The following is a 22,463-nucleotide window of genomic DNA, read 5'->3' as shown; positions in this document are numbered from 1 at the left end:
TCTTCTTTTTCCTTCTCTGAACCATGGCTAGAAAAAAAGCCCTACTTGTTTCTCTCGTTTACTGTGAGGCATTAGTGATTCTGGGTGTATTCATGTATGCTGCTACCTGTATGTTTTCAAACAATAAGAATTTGTTGAAACATGTCAGACATTATACTTTTTATTCTCCAGTATTGGAATATAGACTGCAATTAGTTTTTTGGAATGAAATACAGACAAAGCCATAACATCTATAGAACTACATATTACCCTACAATATTGTCTGATACAAAACAGTCTGGAAATATTCTTACAGCGAAATTGCAAATGTATTGATTTACCTTACATTGCAATCTGTCTTAGTGGAACCTTATCACCAGTGTAAGACATAATTTCTGGGTGTGAATAAGTACACAGTATAAGGTAAATTTTGGTGAAGTAGTCAGTTCTTTGTCATTTGTTCCCCCTTCACACCCAAAGTGTAGCACTTGACATAGAATCTTTCTTTCCTCATAAAGTCATTCATTTGGAATTCTGCATTGTTGTATGTAGAAAAAGGATATTTTCCGTTTTGTAATATTTTTCTTATATTGGGAATTATATTTCTTTCTAATTTTAAAATGTGGTTTACCATATTCATTTTTTCTGCAACCTTTTCAGGCATTTCCTGCTTATCCAAATTCACCAGTTCAGGTCACCACTGGATATCAGTTGCCTGTATACAATTATCAGGTAATGTAAGAGGTAGTAAAATGGTTTGCTTTCAGGTATTATTGAGGCCTTTAACTTGTTTATAGAAATTTCCTGAATAGTTGGTCATTTTTAACTAGTGAAGTGTCCCTAAAATTTAAGGAAAGACTTAGTGTAGAATGAAGACCTCTGTCTTATTTAGAAGTAATGAAGTAATATTTTTACAGGAATATCCTTGGCAATAACATTTGTGTAGAAGAGATTTCTGAGATTTGGTGTCCCCTTCTTCATTTGTGGATATAGTTTTCATCTTTGCTGTCAAATAGCTGAATGAAACATCCAAACTGACTTTCATGAATTTTTTTAGGGAGATAGAGTGAAATAAAATTATGATCCACTTTTCAGAGCACAGAATTCCAATTATATTTTCATTTTAGCTGGCTGTTTGACGGTAGTCATTCTCAGGATCTCTTCTCATAGATACAAGTATATCTATGACCCATAACTATATCTATGGTAATAAACTGAAAGAGCTAGTATTTTTGAGGTTTCCACATTGCCAACTCCCAAAAATTTGGAGAAAGGTGAAGATTCAAATTTAAAGTAACAAGAATGTCATGGACAAGAAACATAAAGTACTTAAGTTTTCCTTTCTGTTACTTTTATTATAATAAAAAAGGAGACAGCGGAATAAGTACTTCAATACTGTGTTTCTCATGTGTGTTTGAAAATATGTAGGAATAGTTTAATAGTTTTGGTTTCCTTTTTTTTTTTTTTTTTTTAAAGATGCCACCTTAGGGGCCTGTTGGGGAGCAAAGGGATTATGTTGTCCTTGACGTTAAGGGAATTAGCCAAACATAGACTTCCTGTTCATTCTTGATTTTTTTTCCATGTCATATATGCCTATAAATATTTTTAAGTGACTCTCTATATTAATGTTTGTTGTTGTTGTTGTTACTTTCTTGTTAACCCGAGTATAAACTCCCATGGCAGCAACAGTGCCTTTTTTGCCCTCAGGGTTTTATGTGCTTAAGCAATGGCAGCTCCACATAATGATAGACTATATAATCAAAGAAAGGTAATATTCACGTGACTTTAGAATTAGCATGTAGCTGCATAGAATCTGCCTCTGGCTTTACCAGCAGTAGTAAATTTATAGAAGAGAAACAGAAATGCTTTGCTGTTAATTATGCTTAAATAAGAATAGAAGTAAAGGAGAGTATTACCTGCAAATCACCAGAGCAGCTTTCCCCCGTATAAGCAGTTCCTAAAGTGAATGAAAGCAGCTCTCCTTATGTGTCTGCCTACTTTATTCTTCCGTAAGTTTAGCAATTCATCTAGCTATCCTTTATTTGAAATGATTTCCAGATGCCTCCTCATATAAATTGCTGACTTCTGGATATATTCTGGTTCTGGAATGGGTAGATTTCTGATGTGATTTAGTATATATATATAAACCGCTTGAGTTTCTGGCATCTAATTTCTCTGATCCTGGTGACATTGATATTTAAAGTAGGGTTTGACATACTCTATCACTTACTGTTGATAAATAACGTTTATATTCTTCTTAGTTCATTTCATTGATGTGTTAGCTTAAAAGACATTTTCTTTGATGGAAAATGTAGTAACAAAATAATAGTGAAATAGTTCTGCAGTGTTTCTAATTTGTTGATATTTTCCATGTACTTGAAACATGTATGGTATACCTCTTATTTTTCCTTCTCTGAACAATGGGTAGAAGAAAAGCTCTACTTGTTACTGTCATTTACTGTGAGCCATTACTGAATCTGGGTGTATTCATGTATGCTACTGCCTGTATGTTTTCAAACAATAAGCATTTATTGAAACATATAAGACATTATACTTCCTCTTCTCCAGTATTGGATTATAGACTGCACTTAGTTTTTTGGAATGAAGTACAGACAAAGCCATAACATCTATAGAACTACATATTACCCTATAATATTGTCTGATACAAAACAGTCTAGAAATATTCTTACAGCAAAATTGCAAATGTATTAATTTAACTTACATTGCAATCTGTCTTAATGGAGCCTTATCACCAGTGTAAGAAATAACTTCTGGGTGTGAATAAGTACACAGTATAAGGTAAACTTTGGTGAAGTAGTCAATTCTTTTTTTTTAAAAAATTATGCTTTAAGTTTTAGGGTCCATGTGCACATTGTGCAGGTTAGTTCCATATGTATACATGTGCCATGCTGGTGCTCTGCACCCTCTAACTCCTCATCTAGCATTAGGTATATCTCCCAGTGCTATCCCTCCCCCCTCCCCCCACCCCACAACAGTCCCCAGAGTGTGATATATCCCTTCCTGTGTCCATGTGATCTCATTGTTCAATTCCCACCTATGAGTGAGAATATGCGGTGTTTGGTTTTTTGTTCTTGCGATAGTTTACTGAGAATGATGATTTCCAATTTCATCCATGTCCCTACAAAGGACATGAAGTCATCATTTTTTATGGCGGCATAGTATTCCATGGTGTATATGTGCCACATTTTCTTAATCCAGTCTATCATTGTTGGACATTTGGGTTGGTTCCAAGTCTTTGCTATTGTGAATAATGCCGCAATAAACATACGTGTGCATGTGTCTTTATAGCAGCATGATTTATAGTCCTTTGTGTATACACCCAGTAATGGGATGGCTGGGTCAAATGCTATTTCCAGTTCTAGATCCCTGAGGAATCGCCACACTGACTTCCACAATGGTTGAACTAGTTTACAGTCCCGCCAACAGTGTAAAAGTGTTCCTGTTTCTCCACATCTTCTCCAGCACCTGTTGTCTCCTGACTTTTAAATGATTGCCATTCTAACTGGTGTGAGATGGTATCTCACTGTGGTTTTGATTTGCATTTCTCTGATGGCCAGTGATGATGAGCATTTTTTCATGTGTTTTTTGGCTGCATAAATGTCTTCTTTTGAGAAGTGTCTGTTCATGTCCTTCACCCACTTTTTGATGAGGTTGTTTGTTTTTTCTTGTAAATTTGTTTTAGCTCATTGTAGATTCTGGATATTAGCCCTTTGTCAGATGAGTAGGTTGTGAAAATTTTCTCCCATTTTGTAGGTTGCCTGTTCACTCTGATGGTAGTTTCTTTTTCTGTGCAGAAGCTCTTTAGTTTAATTAGATCCCATTTGTCAATTTTGTCTTTTATTGCCATTGCTTTTGGTGTTTTAGACGTGAAGTCCTCGCCTATGCCTATGTCCTGAATGGTAATGCCTAGGTTTTCTTCTAGGGTTTTTATGGTTTTACGTCTAACGTTTAAGTCTTTAATCCATCTTGAATTGATTTTTGTATAAGGTGTAAGGAAGGGATCCAGTTTCAGCTTTCTACATATGGCTAGCCAGTTTTCCCAGCACCATTTATTAAATAGGGAATCCTTTCCCCATTGCTTGTTTTTCTCAGGTTTGTCAAAGATCAGATAGTTGTAGATATGCGGCGTTATTTCTGAGGGCTCTGTTCTGTTCCATTGATCTATATCTCTGTTTTGGTACCAGTACCATGCTGTTTTGGTTACTGTAGCCTTGTAGTATAGTTTGAAGTCAGGTAGTGTGATGCCTCCAGCTTTGTTCTTTTGGCTTAGGATTGACTTGGCAATGCGGGCTCTTTTTTGGTTCCATGTGAACTTTAAAGTAGTTTTTTCCAATTCTGTGAAGAAAGGCATTGGTAGCTTGATGGGGATGGCATTGAATCTGTAAATTACCTTGGGCAGTATGGCCATTTTCACGATATTGATTCTTCCTACTCATGAGCATGGAATGTTCTTCCATTTGTTTGTATCCTCTTTTATTTCCTTGAGCAGTGGTTTGTAGTTCTCCTTGAAGAGGTCCTTCACATCCCTTGTAAGTTGATTTCCTAGGCATTTTATTCCCTTTGAAGCAATTGTGAATGGGAGTTCACTCATGATTGGGCTCTCTGTTTGTCTGTTGTTGGTGTATAAGAAAGCTTGTGATTTTTGTACATTGATTTTGTATCCTGAGACTTTGCTGAAGTTGCTTATCAGCTTAAGGAGATTTTGGGCTGAGACAATGGGGTTTTCTAGATATATAATCATGTTGTCTGCAAACAGGGACAATTTGACTTCCTCCTTTCCTAATTGAATACCCTTTATTTCCTTCTCCTGCCTAATTGCCCTGGCCAGAACTTCCAACACTATGTTGAATAGGAGTGGTGAGAGAGGGCATCCCTCTCTTGTGCCAGTTTTCAAAGGGAATGCTTCCAGTTTTTGCCCATTCAGTATGATATTGGCTGTGGGTTTGTCATAGATAGCTCTTACTATTTTGAAATACGTCCCATCAATACCTAATTTATTGAGAGTTTTTAGCATGAAGGGTTGTTGAATTTTGTCAAGGGCTTTTTCTGCATCTATTGAGATAATCATGTGTTTTTTGTCTTTGGTTCTGTTTATATGCTGGATTACATTTATTGATTTGCGTATATTGAACCAGCCTTGCATCCCAGCGATGAAGCCCACTTGATCATGGTGGATAAGCTTTTTGATGTGCCGCTGGATTCGTTTTGCCAGTATTTTATTGAGGATTTTTGCATCAATGTTCATCAAGGATATTGGTCTAAAATTCTCTTTTTTGGTTGTGTCTCTGCCTGGCTTTGGTATCAGAATGATGCTGGCCTCATAAAATGAGTTAGGGAGGATTCTGTCTTTTTCTGTTGATTGGAATAGTTTCAGAAGGAATGGTACCAGTTCCTCCTTGTACCTCTGGTAGAATTCGGCTGTGAATCCATCTGGTCCTGGACTCTTTTTGGTTGGTGAGCTATTGATTATTGCCACAATTTCAGCTCCTGTTATTGGTCTATTCAGAGATTCAACTTCTTCCTGGTTTAGTCTTGGGAGAGTGTATGTGTCGAGGAGTTTATCCATTTCTTCTAGATTTTCTAGTTTATTTGCGTAGAGGTGTTTGTAGTATTCTCTGATGGTAGTTTGTATTTCTGTGTGATCAGTGGCGATATCCCCTTTATCATTTTTTATTGCGTCTATTGGATTCTTCTCTCTTTTTTTCTTTATTAGTCTTGCTAGCGGTCTGTCACTTTTGTTGATCCTTTCAAAAAACCAGCTCCTGGATTCATTAATTTTTTGAAGGGTTTTTTGTGTCTCTATTTCCTTCAGTTCTGCTCTGATCTTAGTTATTTCTTGCCTTCTGCTAGCTTTTGACTGTGTTTGCTCTTGCTTTTCTAGTTCTTTTAATTGTGATGTTACGGTGTCAATTTTGGATCTTTCCTGCTTTCTCTTGTGGGCATTTAGTGCTATAAATTTCCCTCTACACACTGCTTTGAATGCATCCCAGAGATTCCGGTATGTTGTGTCTTTGTTCTCGTTGGTTTCAAAGAACATCTTTATTTCTGCCTTCATTTTGTTATGTACCCAGTAGTCATTCAGGAGCAGGTTGTTCAGTTTCCATGTAGTTGAGTGGTTTTGAGTGAGATTCTTAATCCTGAGTTCTAGTTTGATTGCACTGTGGTCTGAGAGATAGTTTGTTATAATTTCTGTTCTTTTACATCCGCTGAGGAGAGCTTTACTTCCCAGTATGTGGTCAGTTTTGGAATAGGTGTGGTGTGGTGCTGAAAAAAAATGTATATTCTGTTGATTTGGGGTGGAGAGTTCTGTAGATGTCTATTAGGTCCACTTGGTGCAGAGCTGAGTTCAATTCCTGGGTATCCTTGTTGACTTTCTGTCTCGTTGATCTGTCTAATGTTGACAGTGGGGTGTTAAAGTCTCCCATTATTAATGTGTGGGAGTCTAAGTCTCTTTGTAGGTCACTCAGGACTTGCTTTATGAATCGTGGTGCTCCTGTATTGGGTGCATATATATTTAGGATAGTTAGCTCTTCTTGTTGAATTGATCCCTTTACCATTATGTAATGGCCTTCTTTGTCTCTTTTGATCTTTGTTGGTTTAAAGTCTGTTTTATCAGAGACTAGGATTGCAACCCCTGCCTTTTTTTGTTTTCCATTTGCTTGGTAGATCTTCCTGCATCCTTTTATTTTGAGCCTATGTGTGTCTCTGCACGTGAGATGGGTTTCCTGAATACAGCACACTGATGGGTCTTGACTCTTTATCCAGTTTGCCAGTCTGTGTCTTTTAATTGGAGCATTTAGTCCATTGACATTTAAAGTTAATATTGTTATGTATGAATTTGATCCTGTCATTATGATGTTAGCTGGTTATTTTGCTTGTTAGTTGATGCAGTTTCTTCCTAGTCTCGATGGTCTTTACATTTTGGCATGATTTTGCAGCGGCTGGTACCGGTTGTTCCTTTCCATGTTTAGTGCTTCCTTCAGGAGCTCTTATAAGGCAGGCTTGGTGGTGACAAAATCTCTCAGCATTTGCTTGTCTGTAAAGTATTTTATTTCTCCTTCGCTTATGAAGCTTAGTTTGGCTGGATATGAAATTCTGGGTTGAAAATTATTTTCTTTAAGAATGTTGAATATTGGCCCCCACTCTCTTCTGGCTTGTAGGGTTTCTGCCGAGAGATCCACTGTTAGTCTGATGGGCTTCCCTTTGAGGGTAACCCGACCTTTCTCTCTGGCTGCCCTTAACATTTTTTCCTTCATTTCAACTTTGGTGAATCTGACAATTATGTGTCTTGGAGTTGCTCTTCTCGAGGAGTATCTTTGTGGCGTTCTCTGTATTTCCTGAATCTGAACGTTGGCCTGCCTTGCTAGATTGGGGAAGTTCTCCTGGATAATATCCTGCAGAGTGTTTTCCAGCTTGGTTCCATTCTCCTGATCACTTTCAGGTACACCAAGCAGACGTAGATTTGGTCTTTTCACATAGTCCCATATTTCTTGGAGGCTTTGCTCATTTCGTTTTATTCTTTTTTCTCCAAACTTCCCTTCTCACTTCATTTCATTCATTTCATCTTCCATTGCTGATACCCTTTCTTCCAGTTGATCGCATCAGCTCCTGAGGCTTCTGCATTCTTCACGTAGTTCTTGAGCCTTGGTTTTCAGCTCCATCAGCTCCTTTAAGCACTTCTCTGTATTGGTTATTCTAGTTATACATTCTTCTACATTTTTTTTTCCAAAGTTTTCAACTTCTTTGCCTTTGGTTTGAATGTCCTCCCGTAGCTCAGAGTAATTTGATCGTCTGAAGCCTTCTTCTCTCAGCTCGTCAAAGTCATTCTCCATCCAGCTTTGTTCCGTTGCTGGTGAGGAACTGCGTTCCTTTGGAGGAGGAGAGGTGCTCTGCTTTTTAGAGTTTCCAGTTTTTCTGTTCTGTTTTTTCCCCCTCTTTGTGGTTTTATCTACTTTTGGTCTTTGATGATGGTGATGTACAGATGGGTTTTTGGTGTGGATGTCCTTTCTGTTTGTTAGTTTTCCTTCTAACTGAGAGGACCCTCAGCTGCAGGTCTGTTGGAATACCCTGCCGTGTGAGGTGTCAGTGTGCCCCTGCTGGGGGGTGCCTCCCAGTTAGGCTGCTCGGGGGGTCAGGGGTCAGGGACCCACTTGACGAGGCAGTCTGCCCGTTCTCAGATCTCCAGCTGCGTGCTGGGAGAACCACTGCTCTCTTCAAAGCTGTCAGACAGGGTCATTTAAGTCTGCAGAGGTTACTGCTGTCTTTTTGTTTGTCTGTGCCCTGCCCCTAGAGGTGGAGCCTACAGAGGCAGGCAGGCCTCCTTGAGCTGTGGTGGGCTCCACCCAGTTGGAGCTTCCCTGCGGCTTTGTTTACCTAATCAAGCCTGGGCAATGGCGGGCGCCCCTCCCCCAGCCTCGTTGCCGCCTTGCAGTTTGATCTCAGACTGCTGTGCTAGCAATCAGTGAGACTGCGTGGGCGTAGGACCCTCCGAGCCAGGTGCGGGATATAATCTAGTGGTGTGCCGTTTTTTAAGCCCGTCGGAAAAGCGCAGTATTCGGGTGGGAGTGACCCGATTCTCCAGGTGGCATCCGTCACCCCTTTCTTTGACTCAGAAGGGAACTCCCTGACCGCTTGCGCGTCCCAAGTGAGGCAATGCCTCGCCCTGCTTCCGCTCGCACGCGGTGAGCCCACCCACTGACCTGCGCCCACTGTCTGGCACTCCCTAGTGAGATGAACCCGGTACCTCAGATGGAAATGCAGAAATCACCCGTCTTCGGCGTCGCTCACGCTGGGAGCTATAGACTGGAGCTGTTCCTATTCGGCCATCTTGGCTCCTCCCCCACCCCCCTTTTTTTTTCAAGATGCCACCATAGGGGCCTGTTGGGGAGCAAAGGGATTATGTTTTCCTTGATGTTAAGTGAATTAGCCAAACATAGACTTCCTGTTCATTCTTGGTTTTTTTCCACGTCGTATATGCCTATTACTATTTTTAAGTGATTTTTATATCAATGTTTTAGTTTATTTTTTTACTTTCTTGTTAACCCGATTGTAAACTCCCATGGGAGCAACAGTGCCTTTTTTGCCCTGAGGTTTTTACTTGCTTAAGCAATGGCAGGTCCACTTAATGATAGACCATATCATCAAAGAAAGGTAGTATTCATGTGGCTTTTGAATTAGCATGCATCTGCGTAGATTCTGCCTCTGGCTTTACCAGCAACAGAAAATTTGTAGAACAGAGACAGAAATGCTTTGCTGTTAATTGCGCTTAAATAAGAATAGGAGTAAACGAGAGTATTACCTCCAAAGCACCAGAGCTGCTTTCCTCCTTATAACCAGTTCCTAAAGTGAATGAAAGCAGCTCTCCTTATGTGTCTGCCTACTTCATTCTTCGGTAAGTTTAACAGTTCATCTAGCTACCCTTTATTTGAAATGATTTCCAGATGCCTCCTCATATAAATTGCTGACTTCTGGATATATTCTGGTTCGGGAATGGGTAGATTTCTGATGTGGTTTAGTAGGTATATAAATCCCGTGAGCTTCTTGCATCTAATTTCTCTGATCCTGCTTACACTGATATTTAAAGTAGGTTTTGACATACTCCATCACTTAATGTTGATAAAGGACGTTTATATTCTTCTTAGTTCGTTTTATTTATGTGTTAGCTTTAAAGACATTTTCTTTGACGGAAAATGAAGTAACAAAATAATAGTCCAATAGTTCTGCAGTGTCTCTAATTTGTTGATGTTTTCCATGTACTTGAAACATGTGTGGTATACCTCTTCTTTTTCCTTCTCTGAACAATGGCTGGAAAAAAAGCCCTACTTGTTTCTGTCATTTACTGTGCGGCATTACTGAATCAGGGCATATTCATGTATGCTGCTACCTGTATGTTTTCAAACAATAAGAATTCATTGAAACATATAAGACATTATACTTTCTCTTCTCCAGTATTGGATTATAGACTGCACTTAGTTTTTTGGAATGAAGTACAAACATAGCACTAATATCTATAGAACTACATATTACCCTTTAATATTGTCTGATACAAAACAGTCTAGAAATATTCTGACATTGAAATAGCAAATGTATAAATTTAACTTACATTGCAATCTGTCTTAATGGAGCCTTATCACCGGTGTAAGAAAGAATTTCTGGGTGTGAATAAGTACACAGTATAAGGTAAACTTTGGTGAAATAGTCAATTCTTTTGTCATTTGTTCCCCCTTCACACCCAAAGTGTGGCACATGACATAGACTATTTCTTTCTTCATAAAGTCAGTCATTCATTTAGAATTCTGCATTGTTGTATGTAGAAAAATGATATTTTAACGTTTTTAATATTTTTGTTACATTGGGAATGATATTTCTTTCTAATTTTAAAAAATGGTTTACCATATTCTTTTTTTTCTGCCACCTTTCTTTTCAGGCATTTCCTGCTTATCCAAATTCAGCAGTTCAGGTCACCACTGGATATCAGTTCCATGTATACAATTACCAGGTAATGTAAGAAGGAATGAAATGATTTGCTTTCAGGTATTATTGAGGCCTTTAACTTGTTTATACAAATTTCCTGAATAGTTGGTCATTTTAAACTAGTGAAGTGTACCTAATATTTAAGGAAACACTTAGAATTAGTGTAGAATGAAGACCTCTGTCTGATTTAGAAGTAATGAAGTAATATTTTGACAGGAATGTACTTGGCAATAACTTTTCTGTAGAACAGTTTTCTGAGATTTGACCCTTCTATATTTCAGGATATAGTTTTCATCTTTGCTGTCAAATAGCTGAATGAAACCTCCAGAATGACTTTCATGAATTTTTTAGGGATATAGAGTAAATAAAATTATTACCCAATTCTTAGAGCACATAATTCAAATTATAGTTTCATTTAGTAGGCTGTTTCCCGACAATTGTTGTCTGGTTCTCTTTTCATAGTAGAGAGGACTCTATCTATGACCAATAATCATATGTAGCATAATAAGTTCAAAGTAGTAACATCTTTGAGATTTCCACAATGCCAAATCCAAAAATTGGGGAAAAGGTGTGGTTTCGTATTTGTATGTGGAAGTAACAACAAGAATGTCAGGAATTAGAACCATAAAGTACTTCTTTTTTTCCATTGTCTTTCTTTTATTATAATAACAAAGGAGCCAGCATAGGTACTTCAATATTTTATATATCATTTGTTTTTGAAAATGTTTATGAATATTTGAATAATTTTGTTTTCCTATTTTTTTTTTAAGATGCCACCGCAGTGCCCTGTTGGGGAGCAAAGGAGGTAGGTTGTACCTCTGGTAAAGTGAATTAGCCTACCATGTACTTCTGTTCTTTCTGGATTATTTTCCATATCATTTATGCCTTATAAATATTTTAAATGATTCTTTATATTAATGTGTTACATTTTGTTACTTTCTTTTTAACCCAGTTACAATCTCCCATGGGTGCAACAGTGCCTTTTTCTCTCTCAGGTTTTTGTGTGCTTAAGGAGTGGCTGGTCCACATAATAAGTGTTCAGTTACTTGTTGATAGACTGTGTAATCTAAGAAAGATAGTATTAATGTCACTTTAGAATTAGCATGTATCTGCGTAGGGTCTGCCTCTGGTTTTACCAGCCACAAAAAATTTGTTGAAGAGAAACAGAAATGTTTTGCTGTTAATTACTCTTAAATAAGAATAGGAATAAAAAAAGAGTATTACCTCTAAAATACCTGAACTTCTTTCCCCCATTATACCTAGTTCTGAAAACATTTGAAAGCAGCTGTTCTAATGTTTCTGCCTAGTTTATTCTTTAAGGATAGCGATTAATCTAGCTCTTCTTTACTTGCAATGATTTCCAGTTGACTCCTCATATAAACTGCTGACTTCGGGATATATTCTCGGTCTGGAATGTATAGATTTCTGACCTATTTTACTGTACCTATAAATCCTGTGAATTTCTGGCATGTAATTTCTCTGATCCTGATTACTTTGATATTTAAAGTAGGATTTGACATACTCTATCACTTATTGGTGATAAATAACGTCTGTTTTCTTCTTAGTCCATTTTATTTATGTGTTAGTTTAAAAGACATTTTCTTTGATGGAAAATAAAGTAACAAAATAGTAGTGAAATAGTTCTTCAGTGTCTCTCATTTATTGACATTTTCTGTGTACTTGAAATGTGTAGGATATACCTCTTCTTCTTTTTTCTTCTCTGAACAATGGCTAGAGACAAAGCCCTACTTGTTTCTAACATTTACGGTGAGCCATTACTGAATTTGGGTGTATTCATGTATGCTGCTTCCTATATGTTTTCAAACAATAAGTATTTATCGAAACATATAAGACATCGTACTGTCCTTCTCCAGTTTTGGATTGTACACTGCCCTTAGTTTTTCGAAATGAAGTACAGAAAAAAAACATAACATCTGTAGGAGAACTACATATTACCCTGTAATATTGTCAAACACAAAACTATCTGGAAGTATATTGACAAAGAAATAGCAAATGTATTAACTTAACTTACATTGAGATCTGTCTTAATGGAGCCTTACCAGCAGTGTAAGAAACAACTTCTGGGTGGGCATAAGTACACAGTGTCAGTAAGGTGAACTTTGCCTGGTGAAATAGTCACTACTTTGTCATTTGTGTGTTCCCCCGCCCCACCCAAAGGGGCTTAGCACTTGACAGAGAATATTTATTTCTTCCTGAAGTCATTCATTCATTTAGAATTCTGCATTGTTTTATATAGAAAATTAATAAATATTTTAAAGTTTTTCATTTTTTTTATTTTGGGAATAATATTTTTTTCTAATTTAAAAAGATGTTTTACCATATTCATTCTTTCTGTAAACTTACTTTCAGACATATCCTACTTATCCAAATTCACCAGGTCAGGTCACCACTGGGTGTCAGTTGCCTGTATGTAATTATCAGGTAATTGAAGAGGGAGTAAAATGATTTGTTTTCAGATATTATTGAAGCCTTTAACTTGTTTATATGAATTTCCCAAATAGTGTGTCATTTTAAACTAGTGAAATGTACCTAAAATTTAGGAAAACACTTGCAATGGTCTAGAATGAAGCCCTCTGTATTATTTAGAAGTAATGAATTAACATTTTGACAGGGATATACTTAGCAATAACTTTTCTGTAAAACAGTTTTCTGAGATTCGTTGTCCCCTTCTATATTTCAGCGTGTATTTTTTCATCTTTTTCATCTTTTTATCATCCCATTCTTAGAGCACAGAATTCCAATTATATTTTTATTTTAAGCTTGCTGCTTCATGATAGTAGTTCTCTGGGCCTCTTTTCATAGATATGACTACATCTGTGACCCATAATCATATCTATGGTGATAAGTAATAAATTGAAAAAACTAGTATCCTTGAGATTTCCACAATGCCAACTCCAGAAAATTGGGAAAATGGCGAGGTTTTATGTATAAAAGTAACAAGAACATCAGGGATTAGAAACATAAAGTACTTCTTTTTTTTTTTTTACTCTGTTTCTTTCACTTTAATAACAAATGAGCCAGCATGATAAGTGCTTCAATATTGTGTATCTCATGAGTTTTTGAAAATGTGTAGGAATATTTTAATAGTTTTGGTTTCCTTCTTTTTATTTTTTTAAGGTGCTACCGCAGTGGCCTGTTGGGGAGCAAAAGGGGTTATGGAGTAAAGTGAATTAGTGAAACGTATACTTCCTCATCTTTCTTGACTTTTTTCTATGCCATATATGCCTGTAGATATTTTTAAATGGTTCTTTATATTAATGTTTTATGTTTTGTTACTTTATTTTTAACCCAATTATAAACTCCCATGGGAGCAACAGTGCCTTTTTGTCTCTCACATTTTTGTGTGCTGAAACAGTGGCTGGTCCACATAATGATAAGTGTTCAGTTACTTGTTGATAGATTATATAATCCAGGAATGGCGGTATTAACTGGCTTTAGAATTAGCATGTATCTGCCTAGAATATGCCTCTGGCTTTACTAGCCATAAAACATTTGTTGAGGAGAAACCGAAATGTTTTGCTATTAATTACTCTTAAAGAGGAATAGGAATAAAACAAGAGTATTACCTCTAATACAACAGAGCTGCTGTCTTACATCACGATTGGATATTTGAAGGATATAGTAAGTGTTAAAATTCTCAAACACTCCCTTAACTACATTTGTTTCTTAGAATCCTTCTACCTCTGATTATGTTGATACCTGGAAGACGTTTTAAAACAAAAGGCTGCCTTAATGCATTTCAACTTTTCGTTTAAAACAAGGTTTCTGAAGTAACACAATTGAATTTCAACACAACCTACATTGAAACTTTTGATACCAGCTCACCTTTTTGAGGAATAAATAAGTAGCTTTTAAACGTATCTGTATTATCTGTTTAATTACACTTTCATTATTTTAAATATAGGCTTATTCAGCTCTTAACTGTCACTGTAGTGAAGTTGATACAGGAGGTGATGTTGTGCTAAATGAATGCTCAATTCATGAAGCTACCCCACCCTCTGGAAATGGCCCACAAAAGGCAAACATCTAATTTTGAATTTTTTTTACAATATATATTTCATATTTTTTTCTAATTTGAATGACTTTTTTTGAGAAGCAAACATTTTTGCCCAAATTTAAAAATGTTAGCCATAAATCATGGAGCTTAAATAATGGACTGATAGTCAGCAGTTAATGTAAAGGTTGTTGAAATTTCAGATACCCCAAATTTTCAGTATATACCTAAAGTTTCTGATTCAGCAAGTCCTTTCCTGTATTTCAGTTTCACTAATTTTAAAAAGCCATTCTTTAATAAATACTGTATTAATATGATTTGGCAGAATGCTATGGGAGGGTTTCCTCTAGAATTCTACTCAAAAGAAGAATTAGTACGAATTGTATGTCCCTTTTCTTTTACAACAGTTTTGATCTTAAGCAGTGAAAAATACCATTTAAATAAGCATTCTCTCCATAACATTATATGTGGCAGAAGTTTCCAACAGTGGTGAAGTCAGTAGTAATTATTCAAACACTGAAATAGACAGGGTTGTTTCTTTTTTTTATCATTAGTGCAAATTTCTGTAATAACAGTACTGTCACTCCTGGCGTCACATATGTTCTGTTAGATAGGTGGGCGTGTGGAAGTAGTTGATGTGCTGGTAATATGTATAATACCCAAGAAGTCCCATTGCAGTGTAAATTCCTTGATTTGATATTGGATTTTAAAATGTGAATAAATATGAAAACATAACTCTTACAGTATAATTGTCTGGTTTTGTTCTGAGTATGTTTTCTTGAAACATTGGAATTCACTTAGGGATTTAACAAATTCAGCTTTTTAAACCAGTATTCTATCGCTAAGGTTCTAAAATAATTCTTCGATTTGTCAGAAAACGTACATACTGAGGATATGTGGCAGGAATTATGAATCACATTTTTATGAATTTCTTTTTTTTTTGAGACAGGGTCTTGCGGTGTCGCCCAGGCTGGAAGTGCAGTGGTGTGATCTCGGCTCACTGCAACTTCTGTCTCCTAGGTTCCAGTAATTCTCCCTGCCTCAGCCTCCCCAATAGGTGGAATTACAGGCACCCGTCACCCAGCTAATTTTTGTATTTTTTAGTGGAGAAGGGGTTTCGCCATGTTGGCCAGGATAGTCTTGAACTCCTGATATCAGGTGATGCGTCCTCCTCGGCCTCCCAAAGTGCTGGGATTAGAGGTGTGAGCCACTGCTCCCAGCCTCTTTTAGCATTTTTGCATTTCTTTGGAAATAAACTGATATGTTCATTAAACCATCAAAAGAAAAACCAAAACACACCCTTATTAAGAGTGAGTGAAAGAAAGAGTTGTCTTTACATTACTGAAAACTTCTGTGTTTCAGAAATCTGTGGACCGAAGCATACAAATGGTGGTATCTTGTCTGTTTAATCCAGAGAAGAGACTGATAAATTCCGTTGTTACTCAAGATGACTGCTTCAAGGTATGAAAGGAATGGCATGCATAATTAAAAAGCACACTTGTTCCCTCTCAAGTTAGCTGTTTTCCTTGTGGCACATGTATTTTGGGCTTTCTTAGAGGAATTTTTTTTCTTTTTTTTTTGTTTTGAGACGGAGTCTCCTCTGTCGCCCAGGCTGGAGTGCAGTGAGTGGCCCCATCTAGGCTCACTGCAAGCTCCACCTCCCAGGTTTACTTAACGCCATTCTCCTGCCTCAGCCTTCCGAGTAGCTGGGACTACAGGCGCCCACCACCACGCCCAGCTAATTTTTTGTATTTTTAGTAGAGACGGGGTTTCACCGTGTTAGCCAGGATGGTCTCGATCTCCTGACCTCGTGATCCACCTGCCTCAGCCTCCCAAAGTGCTGGGATTACAGGCATGAGCCACCGTGCCCGGCCTAGAACATTTAATTGAACTGTTGGCATTTGACTGTAACCCAGTAAACCAGTGTGGGTTTTACCTGGCAGTATATTTTCTGCTGCCGAGCCTTGATATAATGTAGTCAAATTTAGGGAAGAATCCTGCAGCAGAAATTTGTAATTGAAAGGGTTTACTAGAGAAGAGAGTTAGTTGACTACCTTGACCAAATAGTAAAATAAAATTTTAGATACAGAAAGGAGATCTTGGCTGGGTGCAGAGGCTCACGCCTGTAATCCCAACACTTTGGGGGGCTGAGGTGGGTGGATTGCTTGAGCTCAGGAGTTCGAGGCCACCCTGGGTAACAAGGCAAAACACCATCTCTACAAAAAAATACAAAAATCAGCCAGTTGTGATGGTACATGCCTGTAGTGCCAACTACTCCAGAGGAGTCTGAGGCAGGAGGATCGCTTGAGCCTGGGAAGTTGAGGCTGCACTGAGCCATGATTGTGCCGTTGTAGTCCAGCCTGGGCAACAGAGTGAGAGACCTTGTCTCAAAAAAAAAAAAAAAAAAAAAAAAAAAAAAAAAAAAAGTAGAACTTAATACATGCATATTGGACTAAAGAGAAGAAAAGAAATGATTTACTCAGATGATACACCTGAACAGTGTGAAGGGAGAAAAGGGGTAAAATGAAGCAGTAAAAAGTTGAGTAGAAAGAGAGGTTGATTCAGAGTTGGTGAAGCGGAAGAGAATGTGGCTAGTTGAATTCCAGAAAGATCTGACTTCTGATCCCACTTTCTATCCATGTTGGATAGATAAATCTTTTATTAAGGCTCTAATTCTTACAAGTCTAAAATGAGAAGGTACAGGACTAAAGGTTTCTGGGTCCCTGTGGTTCTAAGTCTATAAATACGAAAAAGAACTAACTTGGTCAGTCCGGTGGGAGAAAAATATTATGGTTAATAAAGGGAAGGTGTTTTTTAAATAACAATTTTATTAAAATAATACCAGTAATACAATTTATGTATTTAAAATGTGCACTTCACTGTTTTTTCATATATTCAAAGTTGTGCAACCATGTCCACAATCAATTTTAGAATACTTAAATCACCTCAAAAATCACCCCCGTACCTTAGCAGTCACCTGCTATTTTCCTGGAACTTGTGTGTATCCCTAGGCAAACACTAATTTACTTTTTTCCTCTAAGGATTTTCCTGTCCTGGAGATTTCTTGTATATGGAATCATACATAATGATGTGGCATTTTGTGACTGGATTTTTTCACTCAGCATAATGTTTGTAAGGTTCATCAATATTCTAGCACGTATCAGAACTTAATCATTTCTTTTTATTTGTAGATATTACCTTATTCTGTTTATGCATTCATCTGTTAAAGACATTTGGATTATTTCCACTTTTTAGCTGTTATAACTAATGCTGTGAACATTCATGTACAAGTTACTGTGGGGACATACGTGCTTACCTCTCTTGCGTATATACTTGGGAATGGAATTGCTAAGTCATATTTAACCTTTAGTGGAACTGCCAGATTTGTCAAAACTGGCTACACACTTTACATTCAAAAGAAAATGTTTAACCATCACTTTGTGTCTTACAACAGAACTAGCTTATTTTTGTCTGTGAATGGATATGGGATGAAGCCTAAGCCTTTTTAAAGGGTTATATTATGAATCTTCTGTATAATGTAGAAGAGTAGAGCCAGATAGCAGAATTAAGTTCTTAACATCTTTGCAACATGGAGTAAATATATTTAAATTTGACATTTGTTCTCTTGTTGCTTCGTTCTATATAGATAGTACAATTTAGAAAAGAAAGAACTGGAATTGTACATCAGCTTATCTTGCCGAAAATTCTGATTACATTGGTGTCTACAGTAGTACTTAAGTGATTTTCAAAGCAGAAGATAGTTTTTTGTGTTTCTTTCTTTCTTTCTTTTTTTTTTTTTTGAGGTGACCTCATTTGGTCATCCAGGCTGGAGTGCAGTGTCGCAATCACAGCTTACTACAACCTCAAACTCCTGCACTCAAGGGATCCTTCTGCCTCAGCGTCCCAAATAGGACGACAGACGTGCACCACCACACTTAGCTAGTTAAAAAGAAATTTTTTTTTTTTTTTTTGAGACAGAGTCCCACTGTGTCACCCAGGTTGGAGTGCAGTGGTGCGATCTTGGCTCACTGCAAGTTCTGCCTCCCAGGTTCATGCCATTCTCCTGCCTCAGCCTCCCGAGTGGCTGGGACTACAGGTGCCTGCCACCACGCCCAGCTAATTTTTTGTGTTTTTAGTAGAGATGGGGTTTCATCGTGTTAGCCAGGATGGTCTCGATCTCCTGACCTTGTGATCTGCCCGCCTCGGCCTCCCAAATTGCTGGGATTACAGGTGTGAGCCACCGTGCCCAGCCAAAAGATTTTTTTTTAAGAGAGAATCTTACTATATTGCCCTGGCTCGTCTTGAACTCCTGGGCTCAAGTGATCCTCCTGCCTCAGCCTCCCAAAGTGCTGGGATTACAGGCGTATGCCACCATGTCCAGCCCAGAAAATATTTTTTTAAACTTGAGTTCTCACCTGGTGGTAGACAAAAGACTCGCTTTGAAACTTCCAGAGTTTTCTGCTTATTTGGGAGAGGAATCAGAAGTTGGCATCCTGCAGTTGTCTGACATTTAGACCTATTTTAATTGACTGCACGTTGTTATATTGAATTAGAATGCCTGAGATATTTTTGAATGTATTTACAATTTCCATAGCCGATTTCTCTTCATTGTCTTAGTTATCTAGCCCTTTCACAATCTTGTTTCCTACATGACCTCTGAATATACATGTTGGTGACCAGTTTTCTAGATTTTAACCTAAATTGATTATCACTCTTTTGACAGATGAGGTAACTTCCAGAAGCCACTTTTATTTATATGAAAATGAAACTGAAGTCTTAAAAAAAGGGCACAGCTTTGTAGAAAAGGAAATGTTATTACTCGTTCACTCATTCCCATTCCTCCTTGTAAGACCTCTCACTTCTCTCTGCACGTCTGCAGGCAACATAGAGTGAAAAGAAAGTTTTGCATGTATTTTAAAGTTTTATCTTCCTTTCTAAAGAATGATATGTCTTCACAGGTTAATGATATGTTCTTCAAATGCCAAAACTTACATATTTTAATCTAAAAACACGAAATTTCAGATTGGAGAGCAGTTCGCAAGCTGTAGTTGGTATTAAATGCAGTTCAATTAGTGAAAAAAGTATTCTTTACAATTACATTTTCTACCAGCTGTCTTTGGGACATTACTGCAAAATTATTAACTAAGAAGTACATAAAATGATACTGAGTTTAAGTCCTTTTATTTCTCAGTTTACTGGAATTTGTTTTATTTAATTATTGATTTCTTTTTTTAACTGTTTAATAAAACTAGCCATCTTGGTACATTTGTTATCCCAGTGTTCAAATATGCTTCCTGAAAAGAATCATCTTTTTTTCTCATTATTTATAATGTTTAAACCCAAAACAAATGGTTTAAGTTTTGACAACTTTCAGATCCATAGTAGTCATCAGAAATTTTCAGTAAAATAAAAGGACTATTTCTGTCTTTTCCAGGGTAAAAGAGTGCATCGCTTTAGAAGAAGTTTGGCAGTATTTAAATCTGTTGGATCCTCTCAGCTATCTAGTTTCATGGGAAGTTGCTGGTTTTGAATATTAAGCTAAAAGTTTTCCACTATTACAGAAATTCTGAATTTTGGTAAATCACACTGAAACTTTCTGTATAACTTGTATTATTAGACTCTCTAGTTTTATCTTAACACTGAAACTGTTCTTCATTAGATGTTTATTTAGAACCTGGTTCTGTGTTTAATATATAGTTTAAAGTAACAAATAATCGAGACTGAAAGAATGTTAAGATTTATCTGCAAGGATTTTTAAAAAATTGAAACTTGCATTTTAAGTGTTTAAAAGCAAATACTGACTTTCAAAAAAGTTTTTAAAACCTGATTTGAAAGCTAACAATTTTGATAGTCTGAACACAAGCATTTCACTTCTCCAAGAAGTACCTGTGAACAGTACAATATTTCAGTATTGAGCTTTGCATTTATGATTTATCTAGAAATTTACCTCAAAAGCAGAATTTTTAAAACTGCATTTTTAATCAGTGGAACTCAATGTATAGTTAGCTTTATTGAAGTCTTATCCAAACCCAGTAAAACAGATTCTAAGCAAACAGTCCAATCAGTGAGTCATAATGTTTATTCAAAGTATTTTATCTTTTATCTAGAATCCACATATGTATGTCCAATTTGATTGGGATAGTAGTTAGGATAACTAAAATTCTGGGCCTAATTTTTTAAAGAATCCAAGACAAACTAAACTTTACTGGGTATATAACCTTCTCAATGAGTTACCATTCTTTTTTATAAAAAAAATTGTTCCTTGAAATGCTAAACTTAATGGCTGTATGTGAAATTTGCAAAATACTGGTATTAAAGAACGCTGCAGCTTTTTTATGTCACTCAAAGGTTAATCGGAGTATCTGAAAGGAATTGTTTTTATAAAAACATTGAAGTATTAGTTACTTGCTATAAATAGATTTTTATTTTTGTTTTTTAGCCTGTTATATTTCCTTCTGTAAAATAAAATATGTCCAGAAGAGGCATGTTGTTTCTAGATTAGGTAGTGTCCTCATTTTATATTGTGACCACACAGCTAGAGCACCAGAGCCCTTTTGCTATACTCACAGTCTTGTTTTCCCAGCCTCTTTTACTAGTCTTTCAGGAGGTTTGCTCTTAGAACTGGTGATGTAAAGAATGGAAGTAGCTGTATGAGCAGTTCAAAGGCCAAGCCGTGGAATGGTAGCAATGGGATATAATACCTTTCTAAGGGAAACATTTGTATCAGTATCATTTGATCTGCCATGGACATGTGTTTAAAGTGGCTTTCTGGCCCTTCTTTCAATGGCTTCTTCCCTAAAACGTGGAGACTCTAAGTTAATGTCGTTACTATGGGCCATATTACTAATGCCCACTGGGGTCTATGATTTCTCAAAATTTTCATTCGGAATCCGAAGGATACAGTCTTTAAACTTTAGAATTCCCAAGAAGGCTTTATTACACCTCAGAAATTGAAAGCACCATGACTTTGTCCATTAAAAAATTATCCATAGTTTTTTTAGTGCTTTTAACATTCCGACATACATCATTCTGTGATTAAATCTCCAGATTTCTGTAAATGATACCTACATTCTAAAGAGTTAATTCTAATTATTCCGATATGACCTTAAGGAAAAGTAAAGGAATAAATTTTTGTCTTTGTTGAAGTATTTAATAGAGTAAGGTAAAGAAGATATTAAGTCCCTTTCAAAATGGAAAATTAATTCTAAACTGAGAAAAATGTTCCTACTACCTATTGCTGATACTGTCTTTGCATAAATGAATAAAAATAAACTTTTTTTCTTCAAATGTGTTTTTGGCTTTCCGATGTAATAATGTAAAATGGTGGGGAGTTGCGTGGGAACTGTGTAACAAGGTTTAAATTCGTATAACAAGCTTTAGATTCTTAAAATGCAGAAGTATAAAGTTCAGTATACTAATCTGTCTGAGTTAGCCCATAAAAGCAAATGTAGGTACAAAGATAAGTTTAAGAGGTGCATCAACAGCAGTGCAGACTAGGAATGCTGATGAACACATCCGACTCTGCTATCTCACGGCTAAGGTCCCTCACATTTTGGACCCTATGAAGCATTTTGTCTACTGTACACTTTGGGCCTAGTCTCTAGATCATTTATTTCGGGGTATTGCAGTTGCCTAAGGGAGCTTAATTTTTTTATATTGCAGGTACTTCCTGTGGATACCATAAAAAAAAAAATCAGTACCGCTTCTTCTAGCTTTAGTGTTAGTACTCAGTTCTATAAGCTGAGTCCAGTGGAGAGGAAACTCCTCAGACACTCTATTAGTTAGTAAGCTTGCTGATTCATAACCAGAAAGTTGACTCCAAGGATACGCAGGATAGCAAACAGTGCTTTCTGCATCACCAAAGATTAAATTGTGATGTTTAGTGTCCAATAATAGGCAAAAAATTAGTAATTCTTTTATGTGCCTATGTGTATATATGTGTACATATGTGTCTATATATGCATATATTTATGGT

The 22,463-nt window shown here is 36.7% G+C and overlaps 1 protein-coding gene across 1 annotated transcript in view; it reads left to right on the top strand.

The window, feature by feature from the left end:
* Positions 1-21,779, top strand: part of DAZ3 (deleted in azoospermia 3) — a 50,325-nt gene extending 28,546 nt beyond the window's left edge. The window contains exons 15-19 of the mRNA NM_020364.4: positions 640-711; positions 10,427-10,498; positions 11,244-11,278; positions 15,851-15,949; positions 19,923-21,779. Coding sequence (NP_065097.2) covers positions 640-711; positions 10,427-10,498; positions 11,244-11,278; positions 15,851-15,914 — 243 coding nt within the window. The 3' untranslated portion in view covers positions 15,915-15,949; positions 19,923-21,779. The remainder of the gene's footprint in view (positions 1-639; positions 712-10,426; positions 10,499-11,243; positions 11,279-15,850; positions 15,950-19,922) is intronic.

Source organism: Homo sapiens, chromosome Y (genome assembly GCF_000001405.40).
Source record: "Homo sapiens chromosome Y, GRCh38.p14 Primary Assembly".
Classification (NCBI taxonomy): Eukaryota; Metazoa; Chordata; class Mammalia; order Primates; family Hominidae; genus Homo; species Homo sapiens.
This window is presented reverse-complemented; position numbering and strand designations above follow the sequence as displayed.